The 26012-nt window shown below is 51.7% G+C and overlaps 1 protein-coding gene across 32 annotated transcripts in view, besides 1 other annotated feature; it reads left to right on the top strand.

The window, feature by feature from the left end:
- SHANK2 (SH3 and multiple ankyrin repeat domains 2) overlaps positions 1-26012 on the top strand; it is a 785381-nt gene extending 759369 nt beyond the window's left edge. For 16 of the 32 annotated variants that reach the window (NM_001441030.1, NM_001441032.1, NM_001441034.1 and 13 more), the window contains 4 exons: positions 1401-1531; positions 3479-3590; positions 6146-8552; positions 20427-26012. In NM_001441030.1, coding sequence (NP_001427959.1) covers positions 1401-1531; positions 3479-3590; positions 6146-8552; positions 20427-20997 — 3221 coding nt within the window. In that variant the 3' untranslated portion in view covers positions 20998-26012. Of the gene's footprint in view, positions 1-1400; positions 1532-3478; positions 3591-4517; positions 4539-6145; positions 8553-16633; positions 16715-20426 lie in introns of all 32 variants that reach the window. The other 16 variants (NM_012309.5, XM_017017388.2, NM_001441040.1 and 13 more) reach the window with 5 other exon arrangements.
- Positions 23417-23626: an enhancer, noted in NCBI's record as "active region_5163". NCBI's record gives its function as "activates an Ori minimal core promoter by ATAC-STARR-seq in GM12878 lymphoblastoid cells {active_cell/tissue: GM12878}" and the evidence as "EXISTENCE:reporter gene assay evidence [ECO:0000049][PMID:35858748]".

The following is a 26012-nucleotide window of genomic DNA, read 5'->3' as shown; positions in this document are numbered from 1 at the left end:
AAAGTCTGGGCAAGGCCCTAGCATACACTTCATGGGAGCCACCAGACCCCAAGAGTGGGCTTAGGGTGGCCAGAAGGCAGAATGTTCCAGATGGCCTGCTTCTCCCCAGGGAGTAAGGCCAGTGCTGTCTCAAAGGCTCAGAATGGGGTACACCCACCAGATACCACACTGGCTTTGTCCCAACCCAGTGACATCTTAGAAGTACAGCTGGGGTCACCTTTTCCAGAATGCACATCGCGACTGGAAGACCAGCTCTCCAGGTCTCAGTGGCACAGGGCCCTTGCATTTAAACAGCCTTAGACACACCCTTATGCCTGATCCCAAACACCCTGAGATGAAGCTAAGGCGTCAGGAGAGCTCTGGGATGTGCTTCAGTTTTCAAGTAAAAAAAAAAAAAAAAATGTGCTGCAAATGTCCTCTTTAAAAAACTTTTGTTAATTGCTAAGGATCCCTTATAACTAAACTTTGGTTTTCTTTTTTTTTTTTTTTTTTAAAGGAAATGGGAAGGTTCTGCATTGGGGAAAATAAACAGAGACCTTCCCTCTGCAACACTTACTAACGCCTGGGGCCACGAGCACCCTGGCCTCTGAAACACCCACGCTGCCTTGGGTGGCAGATCCTCATGTCTTGGCAATCACAGTTACAAAGGAACCATATGTCTGAGTCTCTTCAAAAAAAAAAACAAAAACAAACAAAAAAAAAAACTTCAAAAAGTCAGTTTAGTTAACCCTCACAAGAATAAATCCCATTAGAAAGAATCAAGTGATTCCACTAAAGAAATGGCCCAAATGGCTGTAATCCCAGCACTTTGGGAGGCCAAGGCCGGTGGATCACTTGAGGCCAGGAGTTCAAGATCAGCCTGGCCAACATGGTGAAACTCCGTCTCTACTAAAAATACAAAAATTAGCTGGGCGTAGTGGCAGGTGCCTGTAATCCCAGCTACTCTTGAGGCTGACGCAAGAGAATTGCTTAAACCTGGGAGGCGGAGGTTGCAGTGAGCCAAGATTGCACCACTGCACTCCAGCCTGGGCAACAGAGCAAGAGACTGTCTCAAAAAAAAAAAAAAAAAAAAAAAAAACACAGAAATGTCCCAAAAAACAGAAATGTCCCAAAAAGCTTCAGAGCCCTTGGGGGCTGGGCACTTAAGAAGGTGGCCGAGCTGTGGAGGGTCTTCTATGTCCATGCCTCGTGCATGCCTCCGAGGGCAAGGTCCTGGGAAGGAGCCCATGCCCCAGTGGGAATGCATGTGGCAGAGGCACACGCATGCTCCTCACAGCAGCAACAAATGCCCCCTGCACAGTTTTGGATGTTGGAGTGGCTGCTGCACCTGTGCGCTTTCCTATCTACACCCAGCTTCCCCCACTGGTGTTGCTGCTCCAATCCTCACGGTTCTATTGCAGATAAACCCGAGGAGATAGTCCCGGCCTCCAAGCCCTCCCGCGCTGCTGAGAACATGGCTGTGGAACCGAGGGTGGCGACCATCAAGCAGCGGCCCAGCAGCCGGTGCTTCCCGGCGGGCTCAGACATGAACGTGAGTGGCCGTACCTTGGGACCACGAGGGCGGGGGCCGACGGTGCCCAGGAAGTGGGTGGGCTGTCTCAGTAGCTGAGGTGCACACGCTTTCATGTCTGGTTCGTGCTGTCCAGAGGTGGGGCCCAAATCTAAGTGGCCACAGGACAAAGAGCCGGGTCTGTGCAGACTCACAGTGGTGGGACAGAGCAGGCTGCATCCAAGCCCTGCCCTTACCGCTCACTCAGTGCCCTGAGCCTCGAAGGTGTCCTGTCATACTTGGCTGAGGACCCGTGAGCACATGGAAGTAAGGGGCCTTGACACACTCTTCAGACAGAGGGGCTCTTGCCTCCTGGTCCACCCAGAGCACAGAAATGCTCCGGTGTGGAAGAGGCCGTCTGTCCCACATCCCATGTGGCAGTCCCCCACACTCTCCGAGATCCTGGGCAACACTTGTCCTCGGAGCCAGAAGTGCCATGAAGGGCTTCAGTGGCTGCTGGGCGCAGTGGGTGCCTGGCTCAGAGCAGGCTGCCCGTGCCATGGTCACCTTCCCTAGGCAGTCAGGAGGGCACACAGCTGGAAAAGGGCCTGGGGCAGAGGCTGCTGATTCCCCCAGGCACGTCCTGAACAAGGCGTGGCCTCCTGGACCCTTGGATTGCTTCTCCATTGTGCAGAGGCAGCCATCTGAACCTGATGTCAGATTCTAGCACTGCCTACCTGTCCTGATTGCTTACCTTAGTATTCTCTTTGAACCAGTATCAAACTGCCTATGTCTAGCTTTTTCTTGAACAATAACACCTATAAATATTATAAATTTACCACAAGGCTTTTCTGTAATGTGCATTAAACAACTGTTAATAATTACAGTTACAATATCTGCCCTCACACCTCCTCCCATCACCTCTGAACTCCACAAGGGGACTTCCCCTCCAGGCCCTGCCTGCCGGTCCTTGCCTCCCACTTTGTTCCCAGTCCTTCGTGGCACCCACATGCCCCACCAAGTTGGGGGGGTGTCTGAGACAAGGTGCCCTTGATCTCCCAAAGGGTCCCACTTTGCTCCTCAGCCTCAGGGCCATAGAGTGAGACAAACAGAGGCTGTGGACACATGGAAACTGCATCTCAAAGCTGGAGCAATAAAAGCTTGCACACGAATATTTCCATTGAGCGTCCGCATCTGATATTTTCCCGGGTTGGCCTTCAACACTACAGGTTTGGGGCCCTGAGCCATCTCAGTTTTGCAGACAAAACAACAGCCTGGGGAAGCGAAAGAGTTGGCAGCACCAGGACTCTGCTTCCAAGGTGGAGGGGAGGAGGGGAGCTCTAGGCTCCTCCTGGGACAGGCTGAAGAGGGAGGAAGCTGGGGACAGCTCACTGCTGCAGACTCCAGGCTGTGCCCCTGAGCAGCTCCAGGGCTTGCTTAAGCTAGCTGGCACATCATGCTCACCCACACACCACCACAATACCTGGTTGGCCTTTGCACACACTGTGGGGCTGGTGTCAGGAGCCCATTTTATGAAAGAGGAGATGGTGGCTCCTATGTAAGGACTTGATGGTCACATGGCACATGGGGAGTGGGGTATGGACCCAGGCCAGACCCCACTGCCCACCACGCTGTGCCCTTTCCCACAGGACATCCAGCCTGGCCCCCCTCTCAGAGAGACGTATCTGTCCAGCTGCTCTGGCAAATGGTGTTGCAGCAGACCACATCTCCATGGAACAGGGCATGCTGCCATCCTAACAGGGCCAAAGGCCAATAGCAGCTGCAGCGAATAGGAAAGGCACCTAGAGAGGGACCTTCCTGGGTCCTCAATGCTGTGGTTCTCATCAGCCCCACTGGAGACTTTAGGTGGCTCCAGAAGCAGCTTGGGGAAGCCACAGTGACGGAAGTTCCCTTGTGGTCTCTGGGCCCTGTGACCGTGGGTGGGGGCTGGCCAGGGCTGCGTCTCACCCTAGGCTCTCTGGTTTGCAGTCTGTGTACGAACGCCAAGGAATCGCCGTGATGACGCCCACTGTTCCTGGGAGCCCAAAAGCCCCGTTTCTGGGCATCCCTCGAGGTACGATGCGAAGGCAGAAATCAATAGGTAAGAAGTGTGGCACTCCCCCACAGAAGTTGCCCCTGGGCTTTCAAACACAGCCTTAGGCCCCTCAGGAATTCTGAGCCCTGGGCCTCTCACAGTTGCCTTGGCGTCCCACCCCAGCAAGGCCCTGCCAGCCCACCCACCAGAGGGTGGGAACCTGGCCTTGCCCACTAGGGAGCCATTGGAACATCTGAGTGGCATGAAACTCATCCCCCCTGAAGGACACAAAATCTAGGGTGGCTTCTGTCATCTTGAAGCCCAGTTATCTGTGATAATTCCAGCAGGGTAAAGCGGGAGGGTGGGCGGGGTGGTGCGAGCCAACCCCCCTCCCCCACCCTGCCCTGCTCAGGGTGGGAAGGGTAAGTGGGTTCCCTGCATTCCCCAGCCACCACCAGGCCTGGAGTATGAGCTCAGCAGATGTACTTCCAAGGGTGGTTGGGTCAGGTCTCGAAATGAAATAATGTACTGTGTGTTGCAGAAAACTGCCTTCCTTTCTTCTTAATGTCACAATTATTCCTATTGACCCTGTTGCAGGCAAAGGTACACTTGACCTTGAGACAAGGTCACACTTGACCCTTTGAGACAGTCCCTTTGTGAGATAATTCAGCATTGCCTTTACTGTGTCAATTCTGGTAGAAGCTAAGGCCCTTGCCCTGTGAGAGTTGTGGAGGCAACCCTGGGACTCTGGTCTGCCCAGCCCACCCCAGGGGCACTGTCCTGTGTGTTCTGGAAATGCCTCTGGGCTGCTGTGCAAAAGCGCAGCGTGCTTGTGAGTCTCAGGTGGATAACTGTAGGCAGTCACTAGGCAGTAAGTGGCCGTGGAGGTGGTGTCTGCTGTGCTTAAAGCTCCCCCTGCACCAGCAAACTCAGGGAAAGCTGCGTATTTGTCTTGCGGTTACTGGTTAATAACAACTGATTTCCTCCTGTCAGACAGCAGAATCTTTCTATCAGGTTAGTGAACCTTACGGTTTGGAATCTGTAATCTGAATGTAACCCAGTTTACTTTATAAGGTGTATTCTTAAATTAGTACTCCTTGGGAACAGAATTGCCAGACAGCCAACTCAGAGTGACTGGTCAATGGAGAACACTTTGAACGAGCCATCTTTGCAATGCCAAAATGTCCTCCCACAAGGAGTATGTTAAATTTGGAATACCCTTATCGAATGGAAGTTTTCATTGGAATAAATTATTGTAGTTTGTCCTAGGACTTTTTTTCATTTCAAGTAATTTATTTTGCTACCTCTTTGAAAACCTGCATGCTCCCAACATGAAATCCCTGTGCCACGCGTCTGTCGGTGTGTGTGCGTGTCTCGCTTCCCTTCTCCAAGTGCTCCTGTTGACGTGTCTGTGTCTTCAGCTGTTGAACAGTCTGTAAAGTCACACCTAGGCAACACACCCAGAGAACCCTCAGGCCACCCTGCTGGCTGTCGTAGGACCTCAGCTGCATCCCCACACATTCAACATCCACATATTTTCATTAGGTCAACTCATACTTTGTGCCAGGTCAGCCACACTTGGACCCTGGTTAGTTGCGATTATGGTGGTCCACTGGGCTCTCAGCCCCTGCTCCAAAGGGTCTTGGCAGGACCACTTTCAGGGCTGCCGCTGGGACCCAGAAGGGGCTCACTGAGGCCTGGCTCAGGATCCTATTCCTGGCTCAGTCCAGGACTTTAAAGGAACCTGGGCTCCCTCCCCTCAGGGGCAGGCTCTAGAGCCCACATGGCCCCTCCTCTGAGCTGCAATTCCCCAGCCATCCATCTCTCTGAAGGTCCAGAGAGCTCGAGGACACATAGAACCCTTAGTGGGGCCCAGTGAAGTCAGGCAATGAAAGGATTCACATGACCCTGGAAGAAAAGCACCTCCTCCCAGCACGCACAGAGCCAACCGTGGGCAGATGGCTTCGCTCAGGGTGGCAGAGGCCTCCCTGTACATCTGGGCAGCCGTGGGGCTCAAGTGCCATCTGGACGGTGGACTGCACACCATCCTTGCCACATAAACACAGCAATACCTGCAACCCTTTGCTCTCATTTCAGATGCACAGGTGACAGCCTTAGACCCCTGCCCTAAAAACACCCCCAGGAGCCCTTACCATGCCTGAAGGGGCATGGTGGAAGGATACCTCCTGGTCTAGCCAACCCCGCCCCAAGCACAATGCCACAATGCCAGCACAAGCACACGTAAGCGCACACACACACGCACAAGCAGCCCCAAGGCGAGCTGCCCACTTGGCCTGCAGACTGGCACACGGCTCAGCGTCAGGGGCCCTCCTGCCCTGGCCTCACACAGCTCCCCTGCTGCAGCCTGTGCCTGGAGGCCCCACAGCAGCAGCGTACTCACAGCATCCCCAGTGCCTTTCTGTTCTTCCCTTTCTTGTCCTTTGGCTCACGACGGGCCATGTGACTAACCACTCGGCATCGTGGCTTGTGCTGTGTTTCCTGAACATCCGGTTCATCATCTGAATTTGTGAGTTTGTGGAGATGTAGCGTATCGCACGTTCCTAGGAACTTAGGCTTTGTTGCTATTGTGACTTAAAGCTAAACCTGTTTTCTGCTTGTAGGAATAACAGAGGAAGAGCGGCAGTTTCTGGCTCCTCCAATGCTGAAGTTCACCAGAAGCCTGTCCATGCCGGACACCTCTGAGGACATCCCCCCTCCACCGCAGTCTGTGCCCCCGTCCCCACCACCACCTTCCCCAACCACTTACAACTGCCCCAAGTCCCCAACTCCAAGAGTCTACGGGACGATTAAGCCTGCGTTCAATCAGAATTCTGCCGCCAAGGTGTCCCCCGCCACCAGGTCCGACACCGTGGCCACCATGATGAGGGAGAAGGGGATGTACTTCAGGAGAGAGCTGGACCGCTACTCCTTGGACTCTGAAGACCTCTACAGTCGGAATGCCGGCCCGCAAGCCAACTTCCGCAACAAGAGAGGCCAGATGCCAGAAAACCCATACTCAGAGGTGGGGAAGATCGCCAGCAAAGCCGTCTACGTCCCCGCCAAGCCCGCCAGGCGGAAGGGGATGCTGGTGAAGCAGTCCAACGTGGAGGACAGCCCCGAGAAGACGTGCTCCATCCCTATCCCGACCATCATCGTGAAGGAGCCGTCCACCAGCAGCAGCGGCAAGAGCAGCCAGGGCAGCAGCATGGAGATCGACCCCCAGGCCCCGGAGCCACCGAGCCAGCTGCGGCCTGACGAAAGCCTGACCGTCAGCAGCCCCTTTGCCGCCGCCATCGCCGGAGCCGTCCGCGACCGTGAGAAGCGGCTGGAAGCCAGGAGGAACTCCCCGGCCTTCCTCTCCACAGACCTGGGGGATGAGGATGTGGGCCTGGGGCCACCCGCCCCCAGGACGCGGCCCTCCATGTTCCCCGAGGAGGGGGATTTTGCTGACGAGGACAGCGCTGAGCAGCTGTCATCCCCCATGCCGAGTGCCACGCCCAGGGAGCCCGAAAACCATTTCGTGGGTGGCGCCGAGGCCAGTGCTCCGGGTGAGGCTGGGAGGCCGCTGAATTCCACGTCCAAAGCCCAGGGGCCCGAGAGCAGCCCAGCAGTGCCCTCCGCGAGCAGCGGCACAGCCGGCCCCGGGAATTATGTCCACCCACTCACAGGGCGGCTGCTTGATCCCAGCTCCCCGCTGGCCCTGGCACTCTCCGCAAGGGACCGAGCCATGAAGGAGTCTCAACAGGGACCCAAAGGGGAGGCCCCCAAGGCCGACCTCAACAAACCTCTTTACATTGATACCAAAATGCGGCCCAGCCTGGATGCCGGCTTCCCTACGGTCACCAGGCAGAACACCCGGGGACCCCTGAGGCGGCAGGAGACGGAGAACAAGTACGAGACCGACCTGGGCCGAGACCGGAAAGGCGATGACAAGAAGAACATGCTGATCGACATCATGGACACGTCCCAGCAGAAGTCGGCTGGCCTGCTGATGGTGCACACCGTGGACGCCACTAAGCTGGACAACGCCCTGCAGGAAGAGGACGAGAAGGCAGAGGTGGAGATGAAGCCAGACAGCTCGCCGTCCGAGGTGCCAGAAGGTGTTTCCGAAACCGAAGGTGCTTTACAGATCTCCGCTGCCCCCGAGCCCACCACCGTGCCCGGCAGAACCATCGTCGCGGTGGGCTCCATGGAAGAGGCGGTGATTTTGCCATTCCGCATCCCTCCTCCCCCTCTGGCATCCGTGGACTTGGATGAGGATTTTATTTTTACAGAGCCATTGCCTCCTCCCCTGGAATTTGCAAATAGTTTTGATATCCCCGATGACCGGGCAGCTTCTGTCCCGGCTCTCTCAGACTTAGTGAAGCAGAAGAAAAGCGACACCCCTCAGTCCCCTTCGTTGAACTCCAGCCAACCAACCAACTCTGCAGACAGCAAGAAGCCAGCCAGTCTTTCAAACTGTCTGCCTGCCTCATTCCTGCCACCCCCTGAAAGCTTTGACGCCGTCGCCGACTCTGGGATCGAGGAGGTGGACAGCCGGAGTAGCAGCGACCACCACCTCGAGACGACCAGCACTATCTCCACCGTGTCTAGCATCTCCACCCTGTCTTCCGAAGGTGGAGAGAATGTGGACACCTGCACAGTCTATGCAGATGGGCAAGCATTTATGGTTGACAAACCCCCAGTACCTCCTAAGCCAAAAATGAAGCCCATCATTCACAAAAGCAATGCACTTTATCAAGACGCGCTCGTGGAAGAAGATGTAGATAGCTTTGTTATCCCCCCGCCCGCTCCCCCGCCCCCGCCGGGCAGTGCCCAGCCTGGGATGGCCAAGGTTCTCCAGCCAAGGACCTCCAAGTTGTGGGGCGACGTCACAGAGATCAAAAGCCCGATTCTCTCAGGCCCAAAGGCAAACGTTATTAGTGAATTGAACTCTATCCTACAGCAAATGAACCGAGAGAAATTGGCAAAGCCGGGGGAAGGACTGGATTCACCAATGGGAGCCAAGTCCGCCAGCCTCGCTCCAAGGTAAGTCCGCGGTTGGTGCACATGCACACCGCTCTGCGTGCACTGTCCCTGCTGACCAGGAAAGGCCCTCGGGTAGCAGCCCCAGCGGACACGAAGAGGGGAATTCGTAAAGCCTGTGTGGGCCACGTCTGTTAATGCAGTAACACTTCTTTTTCTCATGCTCCTGGACTCCGGGATAGCCGAGTAATGATCACAGCCATCCTGGTGGGACACAGCACTCCTTCATAAAGACTTGTAATGAAATGAGGTTGCTGGAAGCCCTCCTCACCTTGGCTTCCAAAGAGAAGCTCTACTCTCTCTTCTGTGCCCTCCAGATCTCTGCCAGGACCACCTAGAAGGCCGTTTAGAGCCTCGCCAAAGCCCAAACCAAGCTTCGAGTTGGTTGCAGGAGACTAGCTGCCCCAAGAGGGCAGCGAGTGGGTGGGCGGTGGGTGCAGGTGTCTGAATACACGTGTGGGTTCTTCTTCCCCTCCCATCACTACCAGGTTTGCGGGCTTGGGAGGCACAGGGTCATGGCTGTACTGGTGAACTCTAAGTGCAGTACATTCTTCCCTGCCAGCCCATCCTGTCCCAGGGGCAGAAGCCTCTAGCTGTGTCCATGTCAGCCCTTCACAGTATTGTGCAGGGTTTACATTATTTCCATTGGAACTGAACGTAGAATAAGTCAGGAGTCATTTCTAGACGCAACCAGAGGGCTCTATCTGAGGCTGTCTGGAAGGAGCCTATATTTGATCATTCTTGCACTGCTATAAAGAAATAGCTGAGACTGGGTAATTTATAAAAAAATGAGGTTTAATTGGCTCGAGTTCTGCAGGCTATATGGGAAGCATGATGTTGGCTTCTGCTTGGCTTCTGGAGAAGCCTCAAGAAACTTTCAGTGATCACCAAAGGGGGAGCAAGAGGGAGTCGGGGGAGGTACCACAGTCTATTTAAACAACCTGATCTCATGAGAGCTCACTATGTACAGTAGCCAGGGAAGATGGTGCTAAACCGTTCATGAGAACTCCCCCACCATGATCTGATCACCTCCCACCAGGCACCTCCTCCAACACTGGAGACTACAATTTCACATATGAGATTTGGGTGGGAACACAGATCCAAACCGTATCAGGGCTCAGCAGTCTGTGGCTTTGGGGAGCCCCATTGGCTCCCGTGATGGCTTATGGTTCTTGGTTCTCCTTCCCTGTGGTGTGCACCATTTTGCTGTTCCCCAGGTGGCAGCATCTTCAGTCTCTCCCACTGATATTTGATCTTGGGTTTCATCATTTTGACTAATGAAGCCTCTCTCCATACCCCTGCTGGGCAGGCATTTGATTTAAGCCACTCAGTGCATTAATCAGTGACATCACATACAGCTGGGGCTCAAGATGCAGACTGAGAGCCCCAATTTTCCCAGTTATTTTTCAGTGTGGATGTAAATAAATGACTTGGATGTCATCTATTACTCTAAAGGAGTATCGATAGGCTGGCATTGGTATAGAGAAGCACAGTTACACTGCAGACATTCAGACAGTGCCTCCAGTCAAGGAGAAAGTCTAAGAATTATGTACGTATACACCTACAAGTACACTCAACAGCCTCCAGGAATTTTGAGAAAGGGTGTTGCTTTGCCGCTCAGGCTGGAGTGCTGTGACGTGATCACGGCTCATTGCAGCCTTGCAGCCTAGACCTCCTGGGCTTAAGCAATCCTCACACCTCACCTAGCCTCCTGAGTAGCTAGGACAATAGACGCATGCCACCACACCCAGCTATTTTTTTTTTTTTTTTTTTTTTTTTTGGTAGAGATGAGGTCTCACCATGTGTCCCAGGCTGGTCTCGAACTCCTGGGCTCAAACGAACCACTCACCTCAGCCTCCCAAAGTGCTGGGATTGCAGGCATGAGTCACTGCACTGGGCCAAAAATCTGAAAAACTGACTAGTTTAACCCTTCCCCATTACATACTAATGTGGCTCTTCCGTCATTACTCTATGTGGAAGCAATAATTAAAGAGGCCTTATCTTAGTGTTTCACATTTTTACAAAACACTTTCTCATGGGTGGGTAATTTTTATGACAACTGGGGAGCAGGTATGAGTCACACCCATTTTTCAGAGGATAAGTGGCTTGTCCACATACACAGCCAGCAGGAGGCAGAGCTGGGACACAGGCTGGGGTTTCCTGACTCTCACTTCCCCTTGTAAGCAATGTCTGCAGTAAGGAAGGAGCTGGAAGGGAATGGCTCTAGGGCTGGAGGAAGGAATCCACTGTTCAGGTCAGCAGGGCATCCTGCACCAAGCTGTGCTCCCCTGAGCACTCCACTCGGGGAGTCCAGGGACCCCGTCCATGGAGACCTCTCCCTGAGTGGCAGCTGGACAGCTCATCCCCTCTACTCGTCTTCAGGCTGGGCCAGCTCCTGGGGTGCCCACAGGGGAGTGGGACCCCAACTTGCAGCGTCTCTAGGGTTTCTCTGCCCTGCATTTCTCCAGGGGGACCCTGAGAGGGGGCTGGCTCAAAGCAGACTTCATAGGGCAGAATCCTGCTGTACTCTGAAGGAGAGCAGCTGCATACCACCGCCGACCCACGCGTGAGTGCCAAGAACGGCCGCCTCCCAGCTGTCCTGTTATTTATAGCCCGGCTCTCTTACAGTAAGAACAGGAGCCCACACCTATGACACAAAGCATTCACCAAACGCCAGGCACTACATTCCACGGCACCCCTGAGCCAGGGCCTGTAATTTTTCCCACTGTGTGAACAAGGAAGCAGAAGGCAGGGCGGTGAAGCTACTGAGCCGAGGCTACTTCACAGGAAGACGCGGAACTAGACCTCCAACCCATGGAGCTGGCTCAGGGTTTGACTCCTCACCTTGTGGGAGCCAGGGACTGCCTTGGAAGGAATGACCAACTGGCAAACCGAACACCTGCAAGGCTGAGACTGCCGCGGGCGGGGCTGCTCTCAGGCCTCTGACTGTCCTTAGGCCAAGCTCTTTGGTCAGCAAGAGGCTAATAGCAGGCTTAGTCACTAGGAGGTCACCCTGCGGCCGATAACAGCAGGCTTAGTCACTAGGGGTTCACTGGCACTGCCAAGCTCCCAGAGGCCATGTCTGTTCCCTTCTTGCTCCCGGCCAAGGGTTACACTTTACACTCAGAGTTGGACTAGAAACAGGATGGCCTGAGGCCAGAGGACAAAGATGAAGAGCATTCACTGTAGGCACTAAACTAGGCTCAATCCTCTCCCTCGCCCTTGCTTCTCGGATCTAATAACCTCACCAGGCTGAGCACTTGGGACAAAGCCCCCATGGAGGTGCGCCACGGCCACGGGACACACTGACAAGGACAAGTGGGGGGCAGTCAGAACCACCACTGGGGGGGGGTCCAGGACGGAGTTGCCAGGGCACCAGAGCTGTCCCCCTTGCCGTGAGGGCTGTCTCCTCTCAGCCACAGACCTATCTCTCAGCATGTCTCCTTTGCTGGGCGTGGTCTTCACTGATGGGCCCTGGGCATTTGATCATCTGAGGATCAGAGGGAGCCTTAAGAACTCTCACCTGAGTTCACCGCCTGGGCGACTCACCACCACCTTTAAATGCATCTAAAAATTAAGAGCTGTGAATGGCCCTGGGCAAAATGAGGCACGAAATTGGATGAAGGGAATTCCTACCGAGGAAAAAGAAATGAGTTTTTCTAGGGAAAATTGAAAACCAGCCATGCTTTTTGAAATGACAGATAAGCAGTGGTGTAAAAATCCCATTTCCATAGAAACAAGTTTTGACTGCCCAAGAAAGGGACAATTTTTAGAGCTGTTCCTCAAATGTTCATTCATGAAATGGGCAGAAACCTCAGCTGAACTTGACCCTTTTAAAGTTCCTCTCATCCTTGGATTCTTCCTTTCTTTTCACTTCTTGCAAGAATCCAGGATGGGATCAAAGGAAGCAGCTGAAGATTAAACAACTAGATCCTTGTTTTCCTTGGGTATGTTTGATTTAACTTTAGCCGTGAATGAGTCTCTGATGCTCAAAGCTCTTCCCTGAAATCAAGGATGACATGGAATTTGCAGGCGTCTTAATTACAAATACGCCGACGAAAGGAAGATGATGAAGTAGTTCTCTTTAGTACATAATGTTAAAAGAGAAAAAAGTACATCATATTAGAGGCATCTCCCAGGGTGATCTGAAAACACCCTGCCAAGAATGGAGGCGTCAGTTCTAAGAAAAGTGTTCCAGGACCACCTGGCCTGATTATTCCAGGAGGTAGTCTCATCTTTGATCTCAAACTGGATCAAAGTGAAGGAAACTGGTTTGGGGAAGGAAGAGTGAGTGTGTCTCTGTGAAGAGTCAGTGGTCCCTCCTCAGCAGAATGCCAAGACAACAGCTGCCAGCCCAGAGGCCTGACAGTGCTGCACGCTGGGGGTCCCAGCACAGGAGCCTGGGGCTGCAAAAGCTCAGAGCCGGAAGCTCCTCAGGTGCAGGCCTAGGAGACTGACTGGACACTCAGACTTGGAATCATGGCCCAGCCCCACTGTCTCCTGAATTCACCAGTCAGGAGTTCACTGAGCTACTTTCTATAAGCCTAGTGCCAGGCTGAGGCTAGAGAGTAACGAGGAATACACCAACAAGGATGCCTGGACCCTCAGAATGGGGCAGCAATTCCGTCACTAATCATTCACTCAACAAAGTTAGGGATTGCCTTTATGTGCCAGGTGCCATGCTGTGCCCAGGATTTATCACTGAACAAGAAAACATTCCAGATGCCCCTCCCTTTGGGGAGCTCAAATTCTCGAGGGGAGAAATGGACAACAAATAATAAGACAAACCCAAACTGTGACAAATGCCACAAAGGAGCCACAACATGCTAATAGGTTAGTGACCAGTGCAGAAAGGGGCTGTGATGCACCAGCAGGTAAAAATAACCACGTGCAGAAGAGAGCCACGGGACACCAGCAGGTTAACCCTGACCACATGCAGAAAGGGCGGACTAGGATGCCCTAGCAGGTTACAGTGAGCATGTGCAGAAAGGGACTGACACTCTGCAAGGAAATGACATTTGAATGACCAGAAATTTAAAAAGGAGCCAACCTTGCAGAAAACCAGGAGTGGAGCATCCCAGGCACGGGACAGAGAGTACAAGGCCCTGAGGCCAGAAAGTGCCTTCTGTGCTCATGAAACCATGGCCAGATGAGGAGGGCTGGGCAGGGCCAGGTCACAAGAGGCTTGCAGGTAATGGGCATGAGCTGAATGGAGTTCCAGATATGGCTGCCTTCAGAGGGCTTCAGCAAAGTCTTGGCATGACCAGACTTTGTTTCCTGAAGATGGCCCAGGCAGCTGTGTGATCAGGTGAATGCACTGGTGGCACAGGGAGGCTGCTGTGGGAGTGTAGGGCCTGCATTCTGGAGACAAGCAGGGAGACTCAAGGGCTAAGTGCCTAAGGAACCCAGGAGAACACAGCAGCTTGCCTGACTTATATGCTTTGACCCAAAACAAACTTGCTATGACCCAGGAGCCCCAGGTGTCATGTGCCCTCCAGCTTTATTGAGAGATACTGACACATACCAGGCGCCGATAGTAAAGCCAGATAAATCTGATGTTCTTTACCATCGCTTCCATGGCAGAGGTCAGCTTCACATTTGCTCTGTATGTGGGGGCAACAGAGCAGTGAGTGTGTGCTTGTGGGGGTCCCCCATGGCTTCTGTTAGGGTGCATGGCCTATAAGAGTTCCCCAGAGTCCCCTCTAGGTCGCCAGCCCTTTGCAGTGGGTGGGGTCCAGAAGGGACCTCGAGATTGGCCTTCGCTTCCCCATGGGATGGATGGGCTTCAGGGAGATTTGTCCTGTGAAACTCCAGGTCCCAGAGGCCCCTGAGGGAGTTCAGGCTACCTGGGATGTGAGCTCAGGCGAGTTTTCCTCCCGAGGCCCCTGCGCCTGCTGCCTCACGGTACCTGCCTCCCCTTCCCAAGGCCTCCAGTCCCTACTGGGCTCTCTGCAGTATTATCCTGACAGCCTCTTGATTTTCAAATAACTTTGGGTTGTTAAAAAGTTATCTCTGCCCAGCTGGTCCCAGAGCACAGACTGCTTCAAAACTGACTTGGTACTAGAAGCTGCCTCACGGTGTTTTCAGCATCTCAGGACCACTAGGTGGTTTGAGGGTTTCCAGGCCCTGATGGAAAAGTGAATGTGACATCAGTGAATGCGACTGTGGGTGGCTGGGAGCACTAGTCAGGATGTGCGTCCATCGGGGCTGGTACTTGCGGGCGTTGGGCAAGGATGAATGGGAGTGCCTCGTCCTTGCCCATCAACAGGCAAATCTCAAGTCAGAATCTTCCTCCCCATTTTGGACATGAGGCCCTTTTGGCAAAAGCATATCACAGGGTTAATCTCTCTTCCCAAGAGGTGGGCACCTTCTTGATCTTAGCTGCGAACCTCCTGGCCTGAAGACCTGGATTCCTGGTGGAACTGCCGCGGAGCCTCAGGCTGCCTGCCCCACTCCCAGGTCTGGCTCTGTAACTCGGTCAAGTCACTTAACTTTCTGATCTGGGAAAAGGATATATTATCCATCAACACTTCAGTCAACAATTATTTATCGCACCCCTGTTCTGGGCCAGACCTCAAGGACTAAAACTAGACCAGGACCCCCTCATGGCACTCAGAGCTGGGGGTGAGGCGGAGGCCTGGCAGCTGCTGAGACACAACATAACACATGGCACAGCTGGGCAATATGGGCTCCAGTCCCCACATCCAGGCCTCGGGGAAGCTAGGTAAGGACTTGCTGCCTCCGGTTCTATCTTTTCAATGCCCTGCTTATCAGGAGGCTGTAAAGATGGAAAAAATAAGAAAGCAGTTTGGAAATAAGTGCTATTTTCATGCAAGATGGGGGCTCATCACTAAAATGCAGAGGCGTGCGGTGTGCTGGAGAGAACATATGTTGACAGGCTCCAAGTCCAGCCTCAGTGCTGGCCAGGCCCAGCAGGCCCTTGACAGGCGGCTCATGGGAGGGACAGAACCAGCATGCCTAATCAGCATCACTGACCAGCCCCTGGCCCATGTTCAGCTACAGTTAAAGAGCAGATTACTCTAGCTATGCCAGAGGCTGATGCAGGAGGATCACTTGAGGAGGTTGAGGCTGCAGTGAGCTATGATTGCTGCATGACCCCGTCTCCAAAAAAAAAAAAGCCAAATTGAATTTGTAAACAGTAAAAAAGCCACTTGCTTCTTTACTTACCTCACCCCAATTAACTTGTACTGACTGATGAAATAAGAGCACCTCTCTGAGTGTCTCAATTACCTTGATTTTTTTTAATTCTCACATTTCTACATGAATGTGATTTAAAAGGCAGGGTAGACAGTGGTGACCTGGTGGGGAGTTGGGTGTGAGTGTGTATATGTGTCTGTGTTCTAAATCAGGGCAGCAGATTCCTGTGTGTTCCGACTGGGAACCCAGCGGTTGCTTAGCAACGTAACCATCTGTGCAACCGGGAAGATCCAGTGAATATCATCAATGTGATTAACCAAGAGAGTCAAGCTGCTGAGGAGGGCAGGGCGGGCAGCCCAGGGTGGCCTTCACCCTGCGTCTCACACTCACAGGCGGTTACTTTCTATAGCAATGTGGGGCAGGACACTGGCAGGCCCCAAGCACTTGACGCCCATGTGATTAACGGCTGGGCTGTCATCTCATGATGTAGACTTGAAGCAAAGCACTTGTCCTGTTGGGGTGCCCTCCCCCACCAGGAATGTTCGTTTATCCTCCCTAAGCCACAGGAAAGACAGTTCAGGCACCTGAGGTAGGAAATTGGCAATAAGCTGCTTCTCAGTGGGCTTCAGGCAGAGGCGAACTTCACTCCAATGCTACTATTTTCTTTCTTTTTTCCTGGTTATTTTTCTTCTTTACAAGTGGTTACATTATCCCAAGCCAAAGAAGGAGAAGACAAGCTTGTGAGTTTCCCACGCTCCCTATGAAAGTGATGCCATATTGATGTTTCAGCTCTGGGCAGGCTGTGGCAGGCCGAAGGGACCACCACGGATGGGCTTTCAGCCAGGGTCTGCCCCACTGCCTTCATTTCATCTGTCGAAAAGCAGCTTTTTTCTGTTTCTTCCTTTCTTGTTCATTAATTTTTGCAGTGTTGTCTCAAGTCATTCCATTTGTCATTTTCATTTGCTCCCATGACCGGTGTTAACAGAAGAGGGTCGTGCTGAACAGAAGTAAGTGCCACCTGCTGTGCTGCTGCGTGACCCCGTGTGTGCCACTCTCGCGCTCCCGCTGCCCACCGAGGTGTTTGCAGAGCCTCCTCTTCGCTTCCTAACCACACACACAGCTGCCTGCAGAGCCTTTCCTTACAAAAACCAAAATCAATCCCAACTACCTGGGAACAGCTGGGTATTTTCCCAGTGAGGGCAGCACTGGGGCAACCCTCTGGGCCAGAGATACCCGTGGTGAATACTGCCCAGGCGTGAGGTAGGTGCTCTCACTCTGGGGCTTTACTTGCCTCTGCTTCACAGGCCTGGTGAGCACCAAGGCCAGGCACCAGTCATGCTGCCACGGTGGAGCTGCCCAGAGTCAGGGCTGCAGGCACAGTCACCATGTAGTCAGCTTTAGCAAAAGCACATGGAGACCAGAACTTTACCCCAGCTACCCCTCCTCCTCTAGTCCTCTGTGGGCATATGTCTTCTTGTAAGATGTTTTCCCATTTTATAGGAAACATTCCCTGTGCCCCAAGGTCCTTGGCCCTAATTAACACCCCAAATCACCTCTGAATGCAGTGGCTTTCAACTTACCCATTATTTGATTTCAATCATCTTGGCTTAATTGTTTTATCAACGTGGACAAATAAGCCTTCCCCAAAACTGTGCTCTTGTGACTCTGGAATAAACACAGAAGAACAGGCCACAGCACCCCCAGTTTTAAGTTGGAACTGGAGCTGGTCTTTCGACCTTCTTTGAGTACCAGAGAAGGGGGGGTTGCAGGTTTTTTCGTGTATCCTATGTCCATAGGCCACCTCTCTCTTGAGAGTATAAACTGAGATACTAGAGGGTGCTGGCCCCTCTCCCCTGCTGTGAAGCCCCACTGGGCTCTGATTTGATTTCGGGTTTTTTGGGGGTTTTTTTATTGTTGTTGTTGTTGTTTTTGAGAAGAAGTCTAGCTCAGTCGCCCAGGCTGGAGTGCAGTGGCACGATCTCAGCTCACTGCAACCTCCGCCTCCTGGGTTCAAGCAATTCTCCTGCCTCAGCCTCCCAGTAGCTGGGATTACAGGCGCCCACCACCACACTCAGCTAATTTTTTTTTTTTTAATTTTTAGTAGAGATGGGGTTTCACCATATTGACCAGGCTGGTCTCGAACCCCTGACCTCAAATGATTCACCCACCTAGGCCTCCCAAAGTGCTGGGATTACAGGCGTGAGCCACCGTGTGCAGCCTCTGATTTCTTGATTGTGAGTAACTGGGCCCAGAAACAGTGGAGGAATCCTCAGAGTCTCACCTGCCTTGTGCCTGTTGGTGTGAGCAGTATAACCAATGACCAGCAAGCCACCATTGAGGGTGGGGGCAGGTTCTAGATGGGGATGCCTGGTTTGTAACATCTCCCACTCAGGGGCACCCAGCCCTCTGGAAAATAGCACGTGAACACCCTATGGGTGGATGGGGTCCCTGGCCCAGCAGTGCACCCACCAGCCCCTGCAAACACTTCTCACAGTAGGATTGAAGCCTCAGTCCACAGCACAGGCCCCTTTCAGATTTGCCCCTCCTTTCTCACTATGGACTAGTCCACACTTTAAGCAACAGTGACTAACATCAAGTAGGAAACTGACCCACAGCTTAGGGGAACCTAGGTAACTGATGGGTGGTTTCACCCAAATATACATCCATGGTAAAGAAAGAGAAAAGAAAAAAACGGAGAGAGACAGACTAGACCAGCAGCGGGGCCCGTCTCCAGGTCACTCCCTTTGCTTTTAGCTCCTGGAGGGTTCTGGGCCATTAGCTTTGTGCATACCCTGGAATGAAAACCAAGGCCCAACCAAATGGCCTCTAAGGTTCAGGGTCTCTCAGTGTCTGGGGAGTTTGTTAATTGCAGACACCTGGTCCCCATGCACAGCACTCCTGCTTCCACAGGTTTGAGACGAGCTCAGGAGTCCTCACGGCCCACCAGTGTCCCAGGTGGTTTCTATGAAGGGTCTGTGGGCTCCTCTTTGGGAAGTGCTGCTCTAACTGGTCAGCCATTGAGCTCCAAAGACAGCCCCAGTGCAAGTCGATGAACTGGCCCCCAGCAGACGGGCAGGGGCTTCAGTCTTGCCCTCCAGGGAGTCTCCCCACACGGCAGCATCTCTACTGTTTGCAGCTCTCCCCCTCTTGCCCATGACCCTTTCACTGAGACACTGCAGCCCACCACCATTCACGGTCACGATGTCACACCAGTGCACTCCTCATGCTCTCCAGAGCCCCTCCACCCAGGGTAACCCACCACATAGGAGGGAGAGGAGCCCACTTCATGTGGGAAGATGTGGAGACAGGAGAAAAGTGCACCCAAGCTGGCATCTGACAGAGCCAGGGCTCCAGCAGACATCTCTCAAGTCCAGGTCTTGAAGAGAGAGCCGTGGTAGGATGGATCTTTTCAGAAGCGGTGGGTGGGCCGTTCATATCCACGTGAATGGGCCCAAAAGGCAAGAGACCCACACCTCTCCTCCCCTCCCCAGTGGCTGTGGCTTTCCTAGGGACAATAGGATGAATGGGCTTTCAGTGTGGGGACAGCAAAACATGCACTAGGGCCCAGAGTGGCAGTTCTCTTGGTGTGGAGAGTGCCTGCCACAGGCCTTGGCCAGAGCCCGTGAGGGAGTGGTGTGTGAAAGGCCACCTCCACGTGGGTAAGCGTGAGGACTTGGACTTCTCTGGCACTGAGATGGGACCTCCTGCCTGTGGGAGTCATCTGGCCACCACCCTGGGGCCAGTAAAGGTTGGAGCTAGAAGGGTCGTCCTCCCTGACTTGAGCTCTGAGGGCTTTGCCTGCCCAGCCAGAGCGGCAAGGCACAGGGGACCCTCGGGGACGCCCATGGCCACCCTGGGGAAGACAGGGCTCCTCACGCGTTCTGCTTTTCAGTAAGGCCCGTGTGTCCTACCAGTGAGCCTCTCACATGAAAGGGGCTAAAAATAACACAGGGTACCCCAGCTCCTTCTGCAACAAAACTGTCCACTGGGTGGGCGCTGGACAGTGCTGCCTCAGGAAGGTGAGCGCAGCCCACACTGGCCACACAAGCCACGCCCTGCTGTCTGGGTTTCCGGGTGATCTCAACCCCTGAGTGCCCTGCGTAGCTACAGGGGTTCCAGTTACTGAAAGGGGCCACCTGGGAAGGATCCTGCCCTGCTCTTGTCCATTTACCCAAAAAGCCTAAGGCTGCCAGGCGGCTGAGGGGCCTGTCCTCCAGGTGTGCTCCTTCCCACCTGCTGAAGCTGAGGCGCTGGAGATGTTGCCTGGCACGTTCTACCCAGGTGACAGGACCCCACTCTGTCCCTGTCTCCGTGCCCTCTTCAAGGGACCCCTTCCAAATGCCTCAGTGGCCACCCTCCCGAGGGTCCCCCGGCCCTGCCCCCCAGCACAGGCAGGTCCCCCAGCCCCTCTGTCCCAGTTCAGGTGAGTGGGCTGACGTGGTGTGCTCCCCCCAGCACAGGCAGGTCCCCCAGCCCCTCTGTCCCAGTTCAGGTGAGTGGGCTGACGTGGTGTGCTCTGGTGTCTCCAACTTTGCTCTGGCCCCTTTCTCCCCCTCCCCCACCCTGGCATGGCAAATCATTCGTTCACTGCCAGTGGATCTGCCACTAGACACTCTGGCATGGTTTGGGCGTCTCCCTCGCCTTCCTGGGTGATCTGCAGCCAGCTGCCCTGACTCGGTGACCTGCCTTGTGATGGTTTTCTCTGTGTTGCTGTTTCAGAAGCCCGGAGATCATGAGCACCATCTCAGGTACACGGAGCACGACGGTCACCTTCACTGTTCGCCCCGGCACCTCCCAGCCCATCACCCTGCAGAGCCGGCCCCCCGACTATGAAAGCAGGACCTCAGGAACAAGACGTGCCCCAAGCCCTGTGGTCTCGCCAACAGAGATGAACAAAGAGACCCTGCCCGCCCCCCTGTCTGCTGCCACCGCCTCTCCTTCTCCCGCTCTCTCAGATGTCTTTAGCCTTCCAAGCCAGCCCCCTTCTGGGGATCTATTTGGCTTGAACCCAGCGGGACGCAGTAGGTCGCCATCCCCCTCGATACTGCAACAGCCAATCTCAAATAAGCCTTTTACAACTAAACCTGTCCACCTGTGGACTAAACCAGATGTGGCCGATTGGCTGGAAAGTCTAAACTTGGGTGAACATAAAGAGGCCTTCATGGACAATGAGATCGATGGCAGTCACTTACCAAACCTGCAGAAGGAGGACCTCATCGATCTTGGGGTAACTCGAGTCGGGCACAGAATGAACATAGAAAGGGCTTTGAAACAGCTGCTGGACAGATAAGGACGGCTGCTCTCCACCTCGCAGACTGCTCTTGTTATAAGTAGAGATGGGCTCGTGCTGAAACATCTGAATGCCAAGCGAAGTCTGTGAGCATCAACCCCACTCCATGGGTTTGTCTCCTGGTACCCAAAGAAATACTGAGTTGTGTCCACAACATGGCTGGGTCTTCAGACCCCTGGCTCACCATGTGGGTGTCTTGGGCAGTTTCTATCACACATGGGACAAGGGGAGGGAGTTTTTCTAACATGGAAAAAGATTCTCAGCCTGCCGCCCAGCATGCAGGTGGCCTCGCTTTGCCGGGTCCGAGAGGCTCCCCGTCAATTTTGCACGGGATCCTAGCTCTTGTAGGCAGACACCAGTGCACTCTAGATACCTCCTGAGACCTCCGTCCTCTGCTTTCCGGGCAGCTCTCACCACCCCAGGCCCCGGCATGAGGCCTTTCCTCAGTCCTGTGGCCTCTCAGAGGACACCTGATGCTCACCTGCCCCTCTTTCTCCTGCACTTGGCTTGCAGTGAGATGCTCCCAGATGCATTTGTCCAGTGCCCCATCATGGGCCTGAAAGGCAGAGAAACTTTTTCCTACACAGATTCTTTTCCCCATCTCCTCCTGTGGTTTGCATCCATGGCTCTTTGGCCATGAGGTTCCTGGCAGTGCTGGGAGTTTGGATGGGATCGTGCCCAGCTTTGCTTAGCTTTCTTTATTTCTGCAAATCTGTTAGCATAATTCCAAGGTGGCCAAGCAGATGTCACATGGAGTTAGTCAAAGCACAAAGTCACGATTCCACAATGGAGGGGAGACCTGGCCAAGGGAGCCAGCCAGCGTGCAACTGCCCAAGCTCCAGGTCTCCAGGACAAGAGCAGTTGTCTGCCATGAGCACCCATCCAGGATGGAGAATAAGGGCTTCTCTGCCTCTCAGAATTCTTTTTAATTGAAGATGTCTTGAGCTCTGCAAAGATCAGAGCAGGTGAGCATCCACTTTGACATGAAGGACAAGAAGACGCATGGCTCATGGCGGGCACATGCGGCTGCCAGTGAGACAGCGTCTCCTCTGGGAGCTGGGCGGGCACAGCATCCTCAGTTCTGTGCCCAGCCAAGGGTGAGCATCTCTGCTGAGACAGTCCTTTTGCTCTCGGAGGCCAGGGAAGATGGTACTTAGAGGCTTTTCCCCTATCGCTCTGGGTGTCTAGGAATCCCACCAGCTTGTCTTAACAGTACAACAGCTTCTTTGAGGACCCAGTGGGTATGGAGTATAGACAGAACCCAGGGTTGAGAACAGAAGGTGGGCGGCAGGATCAGAGTGAAAGCAGAGGCGTGAGGAGAGGAAAGCAGGGAGGTCTCCTGGGCTGCCAGGTCAGCCTCTCTGGCAAGGCTTTCTTGAGCCCCGCCCCTTTCTTTCCCCGGAGTCCCTCCACCCCATAACAATACCTCGAATTTCCAAAAGAGGTCACCAGATGCACATGGGCCGCAAAACACACAGTCAGGCTTCCAGCACATTCTCCCCCATTTGGAGGATACTCGAATGTCAGGTTTTTGGTTTTATTATTATTTCAGAACTAGCTCAGCCCATCTCTAATTATAAAACATGGTTTTGTTTTTTTTTTTTCCTTTTTTTCTTGATTAGGTCTGGAACAGCTCTAGAATGAACACATAAAATTTAGCAATTTAAAATCTTTCTTTACTGCAAGTTTAAATAGTTGTACAGATAGTTTATAAGCACAATATTTTAAGAAAAAAAAGTGGCTGGTCTACTAGGCAGCCTTTGTGCCACTTCAGTGCTAGAAAGTTAAAGAAAAAAAAACTTTTGTGATTTAATAATACTATTTCTGTGGAATAATTATAAAAGTATGACCTTTTTAAATCAACCTTATTTGGATGCATCTGAACCAGCAGAGCTGTGTTATATTTTCTATCTTTGCTAGAACTTCGTCATTGAAGGACAATTTCTTCAAAGTGGTTACAATTCATAATGCAGCAGTTTCTCCAAAAACAAAAACAAAACACACACCACACACACGCGCTTTTCCAGTCACACACCCCTGATGTTGGAACCAAGTTTTTGGACCTTCTGTTCCAAAACCTTTTGCAGGTCAATCTTTGTATTTGAAATGATCCAATCCAACTTGAAGTCAATTGAATATTAAGGCGCTTTACTTCCGTGTGCTTTCAGTTTTTCCATCATGAGATGAATGAGCATTACTCTAGATAAATTTCAAGACAGGATACTACAGGTGGCCTGCTGAGGCTGCCCCATATTTTAGAAAATGTAAAAATGGTGGTTTGGCCATTAATTTGTCTTCCATTTGATGATACCGCAAAATTCCGTGAGTCCATTCCTTTGGCATGGCACTTTCCCTGGGCCTACAGTTGGTATTACCTCTGTGCTCAGTGCCAGGCAAAACACTAGCTCAAAGGAGAGTCAAGGAAACCGCTGGCAGACGATAACCAGTCGAAACTCGTGACTTCGGTTTGTTGAACTTTGGCAGCCAGTTGGTGAGGGCCAGATGTTATTCCCTTTCTTAAAGATACTCCAAGCCACATGCCACTAACCACAAGCAAGCTGGCTGCAAGACTAAAGAGCTGATAACATAGTTTATTTTTACACTGTCTTATTATAGAGAAGTAATAGACCTATCAGAACCTGCACTGACCAACAAATAAACACATGTTGCCAAGATGAATCGGTCTCTATCTCTATCTGCTTATTTTGGTACTGAAAGCAATAGTTCCTCATTCAAATCACCACCCACTGTTCTCCCCCTTTGGGACATGTTAGGACGAGGCCCTATTCCATGCCCCTCTTTAATGGTGGAACAAATGTTAAACTGCTCATCTAAAGATCATGTTGATATTATTCCAGGTTTTAAGATCAACTTTTGTTACATACTGTAATTTAAATAAACTGCATTTACATGCCTAGTTTCTGTAATATTGTGTATACAAAACCCAAATCTCTCAAAATGTAAATTATGTATACCTGCCAAGATACCTTTTCCAGGGTGTCTGCGCACATTTTAAGTTAATTCACATAATATAAAAATTACTCAATGTGACTGTTGATTTGCTGAACTTTACATATCACAAAGTGAATTATTTGTGATACTTTAGTTAATAAAATGGTAAATTTTTTTCTCAGTTATTGAACAAGCAAGCATTATCCAGTTGATCTGGCAATGACTTTTTGTGTGTGGGCCACAATATTGATTTTCCCATTAACAATTTTTTTTTGTTTTTTAAATACTAATATGTTTCACACTATAGTTTGTGTAACAACACGTGTTCGCATTATCTATGTTGCTGTTACTTTTGTGCTTTTATTCTTTTTAGACTTTATAAAAAAAAAAAAAAGCTCCTGTAATTTGCACTTTCTCCCAATCCTTAAATCTCTTGTATGGCAACCAAAATTACTGTAAAAAAATAAATATACTATTGCACTAAGGTTGTGGTTCTGATTGCAAACAAACAGTGAACACTGTCTGAATTAAACAAAAAGCTGCCCGACTTGCAATCTAATGTAGATTATCTCAGGCATTGTGGCCAGCTCTGCCTCTCTAAAACTGACCAGAAAAATCTCTCTCATCGAGTAAACAGGCTCCTGTCACTGAGCTAATCTGCCTTGGTTCCATTTCCTTATTCTCAATTTATCAATGGATACGTGCATGTTATTTCAGAATTATGCAAAACGTCAAAATCTGCTTCTGTGACCGCTGCTATAGGCGTGGAGCTGAGGCTCGGCTTTTCCTTTTGTTCTGGGTGGAAGCAGCGGTGCCGCGGAGGGCCAGCCAGATCCGGACCCTTCCCTTAGGGTCCAGTCTCCCCACACCCCAGCAGGGTGTCTTCTAGCCATAAGGCCAAGGGAGTGGCAGAACTGGGCCGCCTCTCTGGTTGACAAGCAAACCACATGCTAAGGCTTGGAGCAAGAGAGAATTTGTGTCTATTGGCAAAGAACTAAGCCAGGAAGACATGGGCCATCCCTCCGCTTTAGGGAAGCATATTTTAAACCTAAACGTTGAACTTCTTCTTTGGCCTCACCAGTGAAAACTTGTTGTCTTTAGTTCCTAAAGTTTCTTCTACTTTGGCACATTCCCCAGTTGAGCAGCAGCCTCTATGCTTCCACGTTCAGGAAAAATTCCAGTCCTCATATCTTTTGTAGTTCACCCTCAAGCTCTCCCGCTTCACCATCCAATAGTTTCTCCCAAACCTTGGCACCCCCCTAGACTTTGCTTCCAATGGTTTCTTCCAGACCACTTTTCCTAGATGAATATATTCGTTTACCTTACTAGGAAAATTATTGGAAGATTTTTTCTTTTACTTGAAATTGGAGGCATTTTAATAACTGGCGAACTGGAATGTGTTTCTGTATTTGTAGACAACCATGAACCCATGCAAGTAGGTGAACATTCCACAGTGGCTGGGTGACCACAGCAGCTGCATGCAGACAGGACTGCCCGTGCTTTGTGGGGAATCAGAGAATTTCCAAACTTGTTTCTCAGACTTCCGCAGATCTCATCACTTTGATTTCTAATCCATGCTGTATTGGTGATTTTGTTTATCGTTCCTGTAACTTGTTCTACATTCCACAGTCTTTACCGTTTTATGTTCAAAATTACAACAATCCCTGTCCATTGATTCCACTCTGGAACTCTTTGTTCATGCCAATTTTGAAATTTTAATACGAGCCTTCAAATAAACACAGAAAAGAAAAAAAAAAAGGAAAAAAAATAAAGTGTGTGCCTTGGGTGTTTTGAACCTGATCTGCATAAAACCATATTGTATTCAAATGCTGTATCTTTCATGAAAGGATAAATATATCTTCAATGTATTAATGTAGCTGATAAAATAGTTATAGTGCCTTGTTTTCTGAACTGAGAAGCCCATATCAATGCACAACGTAAAGAAAGGACGGTTCGAGCTATGAAATGTTGAGGACACCTACACGTGATTCTGGAGCCTTTCTCATCATAAGACTGTGGAAAATACACAGTCGTTTAAGTTAAAAATAAAAAGTAAATTGAAA

This window comes from Homo sapiens, chromosome 11 (assembly GCF_000001405.40).
Source record: "Homo sapiens chromosome 11, GRCh38.p14 Primary Assembly".
In the NCBI taxonomy this organism is placed as follows: domain Eukaryota; kingdom Metazoa; phylum Chordata; class Mammalia; order Primates; family Hominidae; genus Homo; species Homo sapiens.
The sequence above is the reverse complement of the archived record's forward strand: the minus strand, read 5'-3'. Positions and strand labels throughout refer to the sequence as shown.